The following is a 13239-nucleotide window of genomic DNA, read 5'->3' on the forward strand; positions in this document are numbered from 1 at the left end:
ATCTGGAACAGTTCCAGAAAGATGTAAAGGAAAATGATCCGCCGACAAGTTCGCTTTCAGGAATAAAACATGAAATGAAGTGATAACAGAAAGGAGAAGAGGAGGTCTGGTTTAAGAGAATTAAAAGTATAATGCCAAATGCCTGCTCAAATACCGTTCTTTTCAGCCCGCTCCCCACCCCCACCAGCCCTTTTCCTTATAGACAAAACCAAAATTGGAAATCGAAAACAAAAAGTTAGGGGGTCTGTGCTCATGAGATTTAGCTTCCAGAATTACAAAATCTGGGTCTAGTTCTGATCCTATGATTTCTGACAAATCTCAGTGCCCTCAACTCAAACATAGAACACTAAATCTTTTCAGATTGTTGTGAGAGGCCCACAGAGACGAGGCGATGTGAGTGGGAACTAAATATCTATTAATGTCCTAATGTCCACCCCACTCCCACTCCATAATTTAAGCCTAAACCAAGCAAAGACAAGTGCAGTTTTGGTTGTGTGCAAAATAGGGGAAAGCAAAAAGATTTTGTCGCTTAAAAAAAAAAAAGAAAAGAAAGGAAACGAAAACCACAAATGATTACTACTTTAACAGCACAGATAAAAAGGAGTTTGTCTCTGGTAAGTAACATTAAAAGAAACAATCTCAAGTTAAAGCTTGTACTGTCTTGAAAATATGAAGAAAAGCCTCCCGTAGCAGGCTGTAGCAAAGGAAGCAGTTCCTGCAGGAATGGGCAAAGTCAGAGGACCCTGACATTTAAAGCAATGGAGTTCACATCCTTACTGGAAACTGGATGCAGTCAACTGTAACAATTAGTGGCTTTGTTTTCCTTGCCCTGGAGATGTTTGGAGAGCAGAAATCATCCCAGTGATCAGGTGGATGACTATAGGAAGTAATAAAATGCACCTTAGAAGACACACTTTCTTCTGAAGTGTTGTCTTTGGAAGCTGTCCAGGATTGGTAAAATTATGGGGGTGGGGTGGGGGGCTGAGAGTGGGGAGAGAATGGAGATCTACCTATTCATCATTCTAGAACATAGTAATTTATTTATTTATTTATTTGAGACAGGGTCTTGCTGTGTCACCCAGGCTGGAGTGCGCTGGCACAATCATAGCTCACTGCAGCATCAAACTCCTGGACTCAAGCGATCCTCCCACCTCAGCCTCCCAAGTAGCTAGGACTACAGGCACATGCTGCCACACCCAGCTAATTATTTTTTGGAGACACTAGGTCTTGCTGTGTTGCCCAGGCTGGTCTCAAACTCTTGGTCTCAAGCGATTCACTTGTCTTGGCTTCCCAAAGCACTGAAATCACAGGTGTGAGCCATCACACCTGGCCAGAATATAGTAATTTAAGAAAACATCCACATATATGATCTCATTTGGTGCTGCATAATTGTTAGGAAAATATTAGCATCCTCATTTCGCAGATGACAGAGAGATTAGATATGTAGCTAATTAGTGACAAAACAGGACTAAAACTGAAATTATTCTTTCCAAAACACCGCAACGTTCTTCCCCTTACATAAAGCTTTTTATGAGGGGTTGGGAAAGATTGGAATAGAAAGTAAAGACAAATAAGATTAAGTACTGTACTAAATTCTGTAACTATAATAGTGTATGTGGAAATCAAAATACAAATACTTTCCAGAAAGGTTTGGGTACATTTAAAATGTAAATTTTACTTTTTTTTTCTTTTTTTGAGACAGAGTCTCACTCTGTCACCCAGGCTGGAGTGCAGTGGCTGGACCTCAGCTCACTGCATCCTCCACCTCCTGGGTTCAAGCTATTCTTGTGCCTTAGCCTCCAGAGTAGCTGGCATTATAGGCATGTGCCACCAGGCCCAGCTAATTTTTGTATTTTTAGTAGAGACAGGATTTCACCATGTTGGCCAGGCTGGCCTCTAACGCCTGACCTCAAGTGATCTGCCTGCCTCAGCCTCTCAGTGTGCTGAGATCACAGGCATGAGCCACCGTGCCTAGCCTACGTTTTATCTGTGTAAGATGAATAAAAAGTTTTTAAAAGCAACCAGGATGCTATGAGGGCTGTAGAGGGAATATTTTGAGGTTGACAAATAAGGTAGTTGATTCTTACACAGTTTGGGGACATTTGTCAGAGGCAGAATACTGCATGGATAGAGAGAGAGAGAATATTTCATTGGATATTAGCCACTTTTGCTTATAAGATGCACCAGTATTTTATTTGACACTAACACAGAAAAAAAAACCAAAAAACAAACAAAAAAAACCCTGCCTGCCAATTACACTGTGATGCATACTTATACGTGATTGTAGGACAGATTTCAATTTCAGAGATGTTTAAATTTGGAAGCATGTGCATCCCTGAACCAATGAAAAAACGGAACAAGATATCATTTTCATCATTTTACATTTTATAACACGCTTTATTGGCAATCCTATGAAGTTGTTGTTAACTTACTTGTTTTGCTGAAGGGGAGGTTAAAAGGAGCTAAATGACCTGGGCAGTGTCCCACGGGCTCAAGCCCAGCCCCCTCTGGAGAGCTAGCGCTGTTCATATGGTTGCATTCATTCTCTTCCTGAGGGTGTGATGTCATTCCACGTTGAGGGTCAAACGTGGGTAAAAATGGTTCTTCCCTAAGGAGATCAAAATCCAGTGGAGGAGCTGGACATGTAAGCAGTCACCACAGCAGGTGGTGATAAGTGTTACCATTAAAGGGAAGGGGGAGGGATGTCTGAGATACTGACACTGGATCAGGGCAGACAAGGAGGATTTTGAATTTGGATTATAAAGATCAGGATTCGTCCCTTTACATTCTCCCTGGAAAATGCAGATTCAGCCACCAGGAAAGCTCCAATAACTTTTGGAAAGGTACTGCCTGTATAGGCTAGTACCTGCATTTATTTAACAATGCCAAAATGTGCAGACAAGTATCCAAAGATGCTTGTTTAAGGTGGTATGCATAACTCACTTTGAGTAATTCTTCTCCTATCACCTTATAGAAAGCAGTCAAATACATCACCACTAAGGTTTATGCTGCCATTTCTATGCCCTTGACCCTGTCAATGAATTTATTTTACCACTTCCATATCCAGTTTACATTTTTTTCATTGACAGAGGAAAGAAGAGAAAAATTGATAACCCTGTCACTGAAAAAAATGTAAATTGGATATGGAAGTGGTAAAAATAAATTCAGTCGATTTTTCCCTTCTTTTTCTAACAGACTTTTTAGATTTTCGTTTCCAGAGGAAGCACCTTTTCCCTCCATTATTAGACTGCACCCCTAGTTCTAGGGATGAGCTTTGAGGGTTAATCTTATTCTCAGTCTATGAACCCATCACTCAGAGGCTGGTCCAATCAGAGCCCCAGGGATCAGGGACATTTGTTCAATAGATGACTTGGTTTCATCTCTTCACATACTAGGGGAGAATGGGGACGCGTTTGGCCATGTGAAGCCAGCCTGAGATCTTAGGCGACAAGCCAGGGAAGAGAGAGCCAGGAAATCACAGAGGCTTTGCTTGACATTAGAAGTTGAATTTCCCCCTTCTCAATCCTCTGCCCTGTTAAATTCTTTTTATAATTTATGCCATTTTCAATTGCAGTTTCCGTGGCTTTAAACAAAAGCACTCAACAGAGGGGATATGGAAAGTGAAAAGAGCTCAAGTTTTAAAGAGAAAAGTAGATTTGAACTGTGGCTCTATCACTAGCAACATGAAATAAATTATTGTAAACTCAAGCCTCAGCTTCTTGATCTGTAAAAATGGAGATAAATAAGAAAAGCATTTAATTATATAATTTATACATGTCTAGTATAGTTCCTCCTTCATAAAAATGAGCTGGTAATTAATAATTATTGTATTTTAGCCCTGGACTTTAACACAAAAGACATGCTTTAATGATGACTAATTTTTTTTTTCCATTAACTAGTGTGTCAGGCTACATGGTGCAATCAGAAGAGTTCTGTAGTGGGAATCTAAAGCCCTGGCTTTGATCCTGCCAATGAGTGATCTGGGGCAGTTCATTTAGACTCTCTGGGCCTCAATTTCCCTTATATAATTTGATAATGGGAGCCAAGAAAATCTCCAAGAACCCTGTTAGCTCAAAAATTGTAATATTCAATTTAAGTAACAGTGTAAGCCACAAGAGAGTGGTCTCACGTGTGATCTCTTTGACCTTAATAGTAGGATGCAAGTAACACAACTGCAGAAGTGACTTTGCAAAGTCTCTCCAAGTACAGCTAATTTGGAGACAGACATTTATGTCCACAGGTTAATTGCAAGTTCATCGTAGATGCTTTCCTGGATGTGCATAAGTCGTGGTGATTATTGAACCAATTACATGGTAAAAAGAAATTTTGATTTAAGAATCAGGAGATGGATATTGTAGTTTTGTGTCCATAACTCACTAGCTGTATGACCTTAGGGAAAGTATGGAATTTCTCTGTGCCCAGAATCCCAGCTATAAAAAGAAAAGCTTTGAGAGGATCTATGAGATCTCCTACAAATCCAACACTGATTCTATGAATAAAAGCTTCTAATTCAGGGGTAGGCAAATTATGCCTATTTTTATGGCTTGTAAGCTAATTTTTTTTTACATTTTTTAAAATGATGGGCAAAAATCAAAAAAAGAATATTATTCTGTGTCATGTGAAATTTAAATGAAATTCAAATTTCAATGTCCATAAGTAAAGTTTTATTGGAACATAACCATGCCCATTTGTTTCCATATTGTCTATGGCTGTTTTTATGCTAGAAGGGCAGAGCTGAGTAGTTGCAGCAGACAGAAACTGTAAGACCTGCAAAGCCTAAAATATTTACTACCTGGCCTTTATAGAAAATGTCTGCCAATGCCTACTGAATCTGTCCAGCTCTAAAATTCCGTGAACTAAAACATAGAGCTGGGCTGGGCACATTGGCTCACACCTGTAATCTCAGCACTTCGGGAGGCTGAGGCAGGTGGATCACTTGAAGCCAGGAGTTCGATACCAGCCTGGCCAACATGGTGAAACCCCGTCTCTACCAGAAATACACAAATTAGCCAGGTGTGGTGGAGCACACCTGTAATCCCAGCTACTCGGGAGGCTTAGGCAGGAGAATCACTTGAACCCAGGAGGCGGAGGTTGCAGTGAGCTGAGACTGCACCACTGCACTCCAGCCTGGGAAACCGAGCAAGACTCTGTCTCAAAAATAAATAAATAAAAAATAATAAAATTTAGAGCTGGACGCATTCAGTAGGCAAAGTGACATTAAACACTTTGTAAACTACACAGCATTCATCCATATGTAAGGGGTTCAGATAAAATGGAATTCTGAAATTAAAAAGGCTCAGCCAGAACACTCACGCCCAGCAAACATTGTTTATGATGGCAAAACTACGGATAGTGCCAAGGTTAATCCTGTGCTGCTAGAAAATGGGATTATAAGAGTGCTTCCAAAAATGAAAAGGAGAAAATCATCGGATGAGATTAAAGAAGTCATCTAATTTTGCTCCTTTTGTAGTAAATAGCCTTCTCTGATCCACAGCAGAGATTTTTATAGCAAATTGTTCTTTCTTCCTACATGCAAAACTCTCCTTGTGTCAGCGAAGGGCAGAGAGTCCTAAGAAGCCTGCCACACGACAAACCAGAGAGAAATGTGCCCCTTTGAGGGAGAGGAATGTTCTACCCCATTTAGTTCTAACAAGTAAGTGGGAAGTAAGTGCACTCACTGGCCAGCAGCAGCCCTGTGTGGGTGTGAATGCAGCTCATGGGTGCATATTATGGTTTTGACCTTGATCCTAGACATTTGCTTGAGGGAAAACGTGTTCTTTGCACACTAAGCCTCCAAATACTCTCTTATTCACAATACATTTATTAAGGCCTATTTAGTACCAGGAACTATATTAAATATTTAATGTATCTTATCTTGTTGGAGCTTATAAGGCAGGTGTTACCATTTATATTCCACAGCTGAAAAAAATAGAAGTTTGATGATGTAAAATAACGTGCCCAAATTAGAGATATTCAAACCAGTTCTGCAATTTCCAGAGTCCACATTTTTTTTCTACATAGAAAACTAATTGCATACTTAGCAATTGGATTTCTATTAAGATTTCATAGGCTTTTTATGATAAATACCTTGATGACAAATAGGGCATAGTTAGACAATTAAAAAAACCTAAGACCTTAAACCTTGTGGTATTATTTTCTGTTGTTTCTTAAATTTTAAAATATTTAGTTAATGATAAAGAATATTGAATTGGAGATGGAAAGAACTAGGTTCTAAAGGTTTATTTATTTATTTATTTATTTATTTATTTATTTATTTATTTGAGACAGGGTCTCGCTCTGTAGCCCAGGCTGAAGTGCAGTTGCCCTCGCTGGAGTGCAGTGGCACGATCTCAGCTCACTGCAACCTCCACCTCCCGGGCTCAAGGGATCCTTCCACCTGTTTCCCAAGTAGCTGGGACTACAGATGTGCGCCACCACACCCAGCTAATTTTTGCATTTTTTGTAGAGTCAGGGTTTTGCCATGTTGCCCAGGGTGGTTTCGAACTCCTGGGCTCAAGTGATCCTCCAGCCTTGGCCTCCCAATTTACTGGGATTACAGACATGAGCCACTGAAACTAGCCAAGGTTCTAGTTTTGTTTTTGCTACTCTCTACCCGTGTGATTAGGGCATTTACTTAAACTCTACAAGTCTGTTTTCTTCATCTGTAAGGGAGGGACAGCAAGATCTACTTTGACAATCCCACAGGGATCTCGTAAGGGTCAAGTAAAATGGTATATGTGAAAGTGCTTTGAAAACACTCATTATTATTTCTTGGTTACTGTTGGGTTCCATTTTTATATTGAAGTTTTTTATATTAAAATGTTTATATTCTAAGAAATAAACAGAAGCATGTCTCAAAGATTTCAGTAGATGTAAATGCAGGCTTTGTACATTTACTATTGGCTTAAAAATATAACTTTCAAAAGTATGTCTCCTTTCACCAAGCTTAAAAGGATAAAATTATTATCACAAAGAAAAACTATCTTCTAACTTTGCATAGGATGTTATGCCAAGAGAGTGGTACAGCCACAGTTACAAACCCTTTAGGAGTTTGCATTAAAATACAATGTCAGATGTGGCAAAAGTTTAAATTCCATGCCCACACACCACACAGCACACATGTGCACCCACCTAGATTATAGCCACCAATATTATTTCCCACAGATTCCTGCTTTTACAGCCTTCCAAGAGTCACAGAGGATGCAGGGCCACGGATTAGCAGTAGTCTGCCTGTCCAGCAATTTCCGTGTTGTGGCTACGTGGCCACTCTGCTTTCAAATATCTGACAAATCAGAAAGACCCACTGAGTACAAACATCTCTCCTCCTCCTACAGAGAGCTGTTCCAATCAGCATCTCATCTGCAGGCTAGTGCCAGGAACAGAGTCAATATCTTCTCACCTTTTTTCCTCCTCTGAACTGTCTAGCACTAGCTGTTGTCCTCAGACCTGCTATTTCACAGCCCACGATTCAATTAGTTCTGTCTCAGTAAATCATTCTTTGACATGTACACACACATTCTCTGTCATTCCTGCATTAGTTTGCTAGGGCTGCCATAGCGAAGTACCACAAACAGGGTGACTTAAAGAGAGATTGACTGCCTCACAGTAGCACAGGGAGTCTGAGATCAAGATGTTGGCGGGTTGGTTCCTTCCGAGGGCTGTGAGGGAAGAATCTGTTCCATGCTTCTCTCCTTGGCTTATAGAAGGTTGTCTTCATGTTCACATGGCAGTCTTCCTGTGTACGTGTCTCCATGTCCAAATATTCCCTTTTTATGAAGACAACAGTCATATTGGATCGAAGCCCTTCCAAATTTCAACTTAACTGATTACATCTGCAACAAACTTGTTTCCACATAAGGTCACATGCTGAAATACTGGGCTTAACACCCTGTGTTTCAACATATGAATTTGGTGGTGGGGGGAGACACAGTTCAAGCCATAACTGTTCCTCTTCTTCTTTTCTCTTCCAATTTGCTCAGACCCCTCAAGGCAATCTTTTATTCTCAATCTCTCTTCTACATGCTCTCTACCTACCCCATCAGCCTACAAATTATCCCATACAGAATGGGAACACATAAGAATGGGCATGCCTAGGAAAAGAAGGCCATGTGCTTTGAAATTTAACTAGACCTGGGTGGAGTGTGAGCAACCCCTAAAATCACTCAGGAGGTATGCATTATCTTCAGAAGGTTTTTCTTCACTGTCCTTTATTTAAACCAGTTTGTTTTCTTTCTCTCAAGCACCATCATTCAAGATAAATATTTCCCACATAGCATTTTCCTGTTTCAATCGTTAATATTCAAATTCTATTGCACTGTGATATATTTACATTGTCAATGTGTAGTATTTTAAGTGGCACAAAATAAATTGGAATAAAATTCCTGGCTGAGCACAGTGGCTCATGCCTATAATCCCAAAACTTTGGGAGGCTGAGGCGGGAGGTTTGCTTGAGCCCAGGAGTTCAAGACCAGCCTGGGCAACATAACAAGACCCTGTCTTTACCAAAAATAATAATAATAATAATTTTTTAAAAATTAGATGGGTCTGGTGGCATGCACCTTGGTCCCAGCAACTCAGGAGGCTAAGCCCAGGAGTTTGAGGCTATAGTGAGCCGTGATCATGCCATTGCACTCCAGACTGGCGACAGAGCAAGACCCTATCCCTAGGAAAAAAACACTTGGAAAAAAAAAGTCCTTATGAGATGGTAGCTATCTCTTCTCCCCTTCTCACCCACGTCACTCCGCCCAAGACATCATTACAATTTTTTCTCTAAGTACTTATTGTGAACCAGTTATGTGCTAGCACTGTGGTAGATGTGGGAGATACAGAAGTGACTCATGATGTCTGCTATAATGAGAGGGCAGACAGACATAATGCTCCAAGCCTTGTAATCATGGTATTTGTAAGATGACATGACAGCACACAAAATGCAGAGATTAATTAAGCATCAGGTATCAGAAGTCATCGGTCCCTATCCATGCAATAAAGGACAGCATTTTTGGTGAACATAAAATCTCTCAGTAGGTTGAGCCTAAGAAACCAAGCCCGGCCTTTAGAAGAGAAAGGCATTTTAGTACACTGCGGGAAGCCTGGGAGGCAGCTTGGAAGTGCAAGTGGGATACCAGGTGAAAGGGTCTTTGAGCAGTCTTTCATCCAACCACGGGCCTCAGTCTACTGCTGTAGATTAGTTTGAATTTGTTAAGGACTTGGGTACACTAAAATGATGGATGCTGTCTTTGACCTCAGGGACATGGACATTGCTCGGTGGAAATGAATGAAGTATTTCTGAACTTGCTTTAAAAATTGCAATTCAAGCCTCTTCATCAATTTACAAGTATCATTATAATCATCCAGCCAATGAATTGTTGACACACTATTTCATTTGCCCTACAGATGACTATTATGAGCTGCAATGTGGCCAGTCATCCATAGAAACTTTTCATTTTCTCTTGGTAGTTAGTTTCACATCATTTCCGCTTGCACCAATTCTTGCAGTTTGTTTAGGACTGAATTATTTCATCATTTGCCACATACTCACCAAGCTAAAACCTGGATGCACTGGCAAGTCAGCTTTAGAATTATCCTTTTTGAAAGAATAGTCTCAGAATGATGATTTTCACTTAAATCATTTGTGTCATCAAAAGACAGAAAAAGTCTGCATGTTTATTGTCTATAAAGCCAAGGTTTGGTCAGGATCTTGTACACAGAGTCCTCTATTACCACTGATTTTTTAGTTTTACATTTCATTAATTAATAAGAGGTGAATGTATTCATGACCCATGTTGCACCAGCCAAATCCTACCTTGCCCTGGAATGGATTTCTTTCCCCAAAATTGTGATACAGGACCAAGAAATGTCAGAATATTAAAGCTGAGAGAGTTAGAGATCATCTTATCTATATCGATAAATATTTTATATATATATAATATATATATATATATATTTTAATAGAGTCTTGCTCCGTCACCCTGGCTGGAGTGCGGTGGCACAATCGTAGCTCACTGCAATCTTGAACTCCTGGGCTCAGGTGATCCTCTCACTTCAGCCTCCTGAGTAGCTGGGACTACAGGCATGCACCACCATGCCTAACTAATTTTTTAAATATTTTGTACAGACAGGTTGCCCAAGCTGGTCTAGAACTCCTGGGATTAAGCAATCTTCCTGCCTTGGCCTCCCAAAGTGCTGGAATTACAAGCCTAAGCCACTATGCTTGGCCCACCTACATACTTTTATAGTGAAGAAGCTGAGGACAGAGAAGTTGTAAGACTGACAAGATGTCGCAGAATCCAAACCAGCATTCAGATCTCCAGACTCCAGTTTTGCTTTTAATGTTTCCCATTCTATTTTTTAAATTGTATTTATTTATTTTATTCCTTTTCTTTTTTAAGAGATGGAGTCTCTCTATGTTGCCCAGGCTGGTCTCAAATTCCTGGCCTCAAGCAATCCTCCTGCCTCAGCCATATTCCCTCTGACCCCGGCTATATTTTTTAAGTGGACAAATAATAATTGTACATATCTGTGGGGTACATGGTGATGTTTTAGTACATATAATGGATAGTGATCAGACCCAGCTAAGTAGCATGTCCATTATCTCAAACATAATTTCTTTGTGTTGGGAACATTCAATATCCTCCCAGCTGTTTGAAACTATATAGCATATTATTGTTAACTATAGTCATCCTAGAGTGCTACAGAACACTAGAACTTATTTCTTCTATCTAGTTATTTTTTTCCCTCTGTTCCTGCCCTCGTCTTTCTCTCCCTGTGAGCCACATTAAGAATTTTGATCCTTATCTAAAAAGATCGCTAATCAATCAAAGGATTTGAAGCTGCCTGAGCATGATGTGATTTCTACATATTTTTTAAAAACTCCCTAGTGACAAGTAGAGAGGGAATTGAAGGGAGCACTGAAGGGTTTGCCCTAGCCACAGCCCTAAAGTGGCCCCCTGTGCCTCTGGAAGCCCCTCCACCCTAACCACAGCTCAGTGTCCTTGGAGGGTCACTTGACCTAAGGGCAACCAACCAGCAGCTATGACAGAGTCTGCCAAGACAGAGATGTGCTGGTTACTACTCTCTCTCCATGGAGATTCTGGTTGAGTCCTCAGGGGTGAGACCATAGAAATCTAGATCTTTAAAAATTGCCCCAACTGATGTAAATAACAAGCCAGTCTTGGGAGCCACTACTCTGGTAAATTTGAATTAAAAGATACAGAAACAATTCTCAGCCGTGGTGGGTACTAGAAGAGGGTTGTTGTAATATAACAGCTTGAGACCATTTTAGGCCAAGTGCCAAGTGAGTGATTAGAAGGTGTTGCTTGGGGGATAGAGGAACTGAAGAGAAAGAGTCAGAGAAGGAAGAAAGGAACTCTTTCTGAATTTCCAACTGCCAAGGACCGGCTCTACTTTATTTCATGTCCCCATAGCTTCTAAGAATATTGGATCTTTACAGGAATCCTTCCTCCCTCCCTCTCTGTGTGTGTGTGTATGAGTGTGCACTAAGTTGAGTGGGTTTCTGGTCCTTGCTATTGAACACTCATCAAATTGGAGGAACTGTATAATGTCAGAATCTTTCCTCATTTTTCCCTTCCCTTAACTCTGCAGTCTCCCTAATTCTCCTCCAACCCAACCCACACCTTTGTCAAGGTCTTTTTCTTTTCCCAGGAACTGATGATCTAATCCAAGTCAGTGTCCTTCAATGTCGTCACACCAATGACAAGGCTTTGGTGTGATATCTACAAGCAGGCACATTTCCATTTGCAAATCCTCCCAGAATTCCTGTAGCACAAAGAACAATGGGTTCTTGGAATGTGTAGGGGCCAGAGTTAGCTGAGGAGGAGGGCAGTTGATGAGGGACTCGTTGAGGGTCTGCTTTACTTCACACTTTTCAATCACACCTTATTGGTCAAGATCAGAAAAGCCTGCTCAGAGAAATAGCTCTGATTTCAGCATCTATTCACACCCCTGAAAGTTTAACCCCAAGTCACCATCAGGAACAAAAACTTTAGTACTGACCTTCTCAAGTAACTGTGACCTAAAAATCACATTGGATTACATGGTCTAAGAGTTAGCTCTTTGTAGATAAAACTTAAATATCTCTACTGAAGAAAACAAGAGGAAGCTTCTATTTAGAACTGGGTCAAATTGAGAAAAATGAAAGTCGTTACCCTCAAGACACTTTATTTCTAGCAGAGTTACCTACACATACACACACACACATACACATACACACACACACACAGAGTGAAAGAGAAAGACAGAAAGGAGAGAGAGAGAGAAGTAGATGGAAATTCTGGAAGAATTTTTACTAGAATGTTAACTGAGAAACTTTGGATAAAGCAGTTCATGTTTTTATTTTGATTTGGTTTTGCTTATTTGTATTTTCTTAATGTTTTATAATATTTACAATACTACTGCATTAGCATTATAAGAAATTTTTTTAAGAAAGGAAGAAAAGAAAATAAGCCCCCCCAAAAAAAGGAAGAAAAGAAAAAGAAAAAGAAAAGGAGACAGGAATGGAGAGAGTAAGGTCGGAAGGGACAAAGAGAAGCTTGGGAAAAGGTACTGTCAGTGTTTAGACCCCACAGTCAGTCCCGATGTGTGTTTTGTTGTCTTGTTCTGCAGAGTAATGTGTTTCCAAACTTGATGTGTGAAATGTGGGGGCTAAATGCACCACCAGGAAGAGGAGAACAGAGGGAAGCCATCTGCATGCGGAGAATCTCTTCTAACAGAGGGGTTACTCAATAGCAAAAACACTTTGTTCCTGTTTCAAGTTTAAATTATAGCCACAGCAATATCGAAAACCCGAAAAAAGGATCTTTCAGGTCAACTTCAAAGAGGAGCTGAGATGTAGGATCTGTCAGGGGAGAGCATGCCACACCTCCACCTCCACACTGGGACCCACCCAGGGCTGGGACTACAGATGCGCAGGGCTCACTTTGTTTACTCTCCAGGGATTTAACTGATGGAATCAAGATGAGGGCACTTTGCACATGCTGCATTTTTCTGTTTTTCTTTTCCCCTCTTCTCTCTCTTGCTTATTTCCTTATATCTGTGTACTCTTGAAAGACATTCTTTTTCCTTCCCTCTCTCCCTCTTTCCCTCTCTCCCTCCTTCCCTCTCTCCTCTCCCTCCCTTCCCAACTTTCCTCTCCTCTAAGGGCCTTGAATGAGAAGCTCCTAAGACCAGAAGCTGCCTGGTTGTGTGATTCCATGATTCACAACTTCACTCCTGGTTGACTAG

This window comes from Homo sapiens, chromosome 8 (assembly GCF_000001405.40).
Source record: "Homo sapiens chromosome 8, GRCh38.p14 Primary Assembly".
Lineage (NCBI taxonomy): Eukaryota > Metazoa > Chordata > Mammalia > Primates > Hominidae > Homo > Homo sapiens.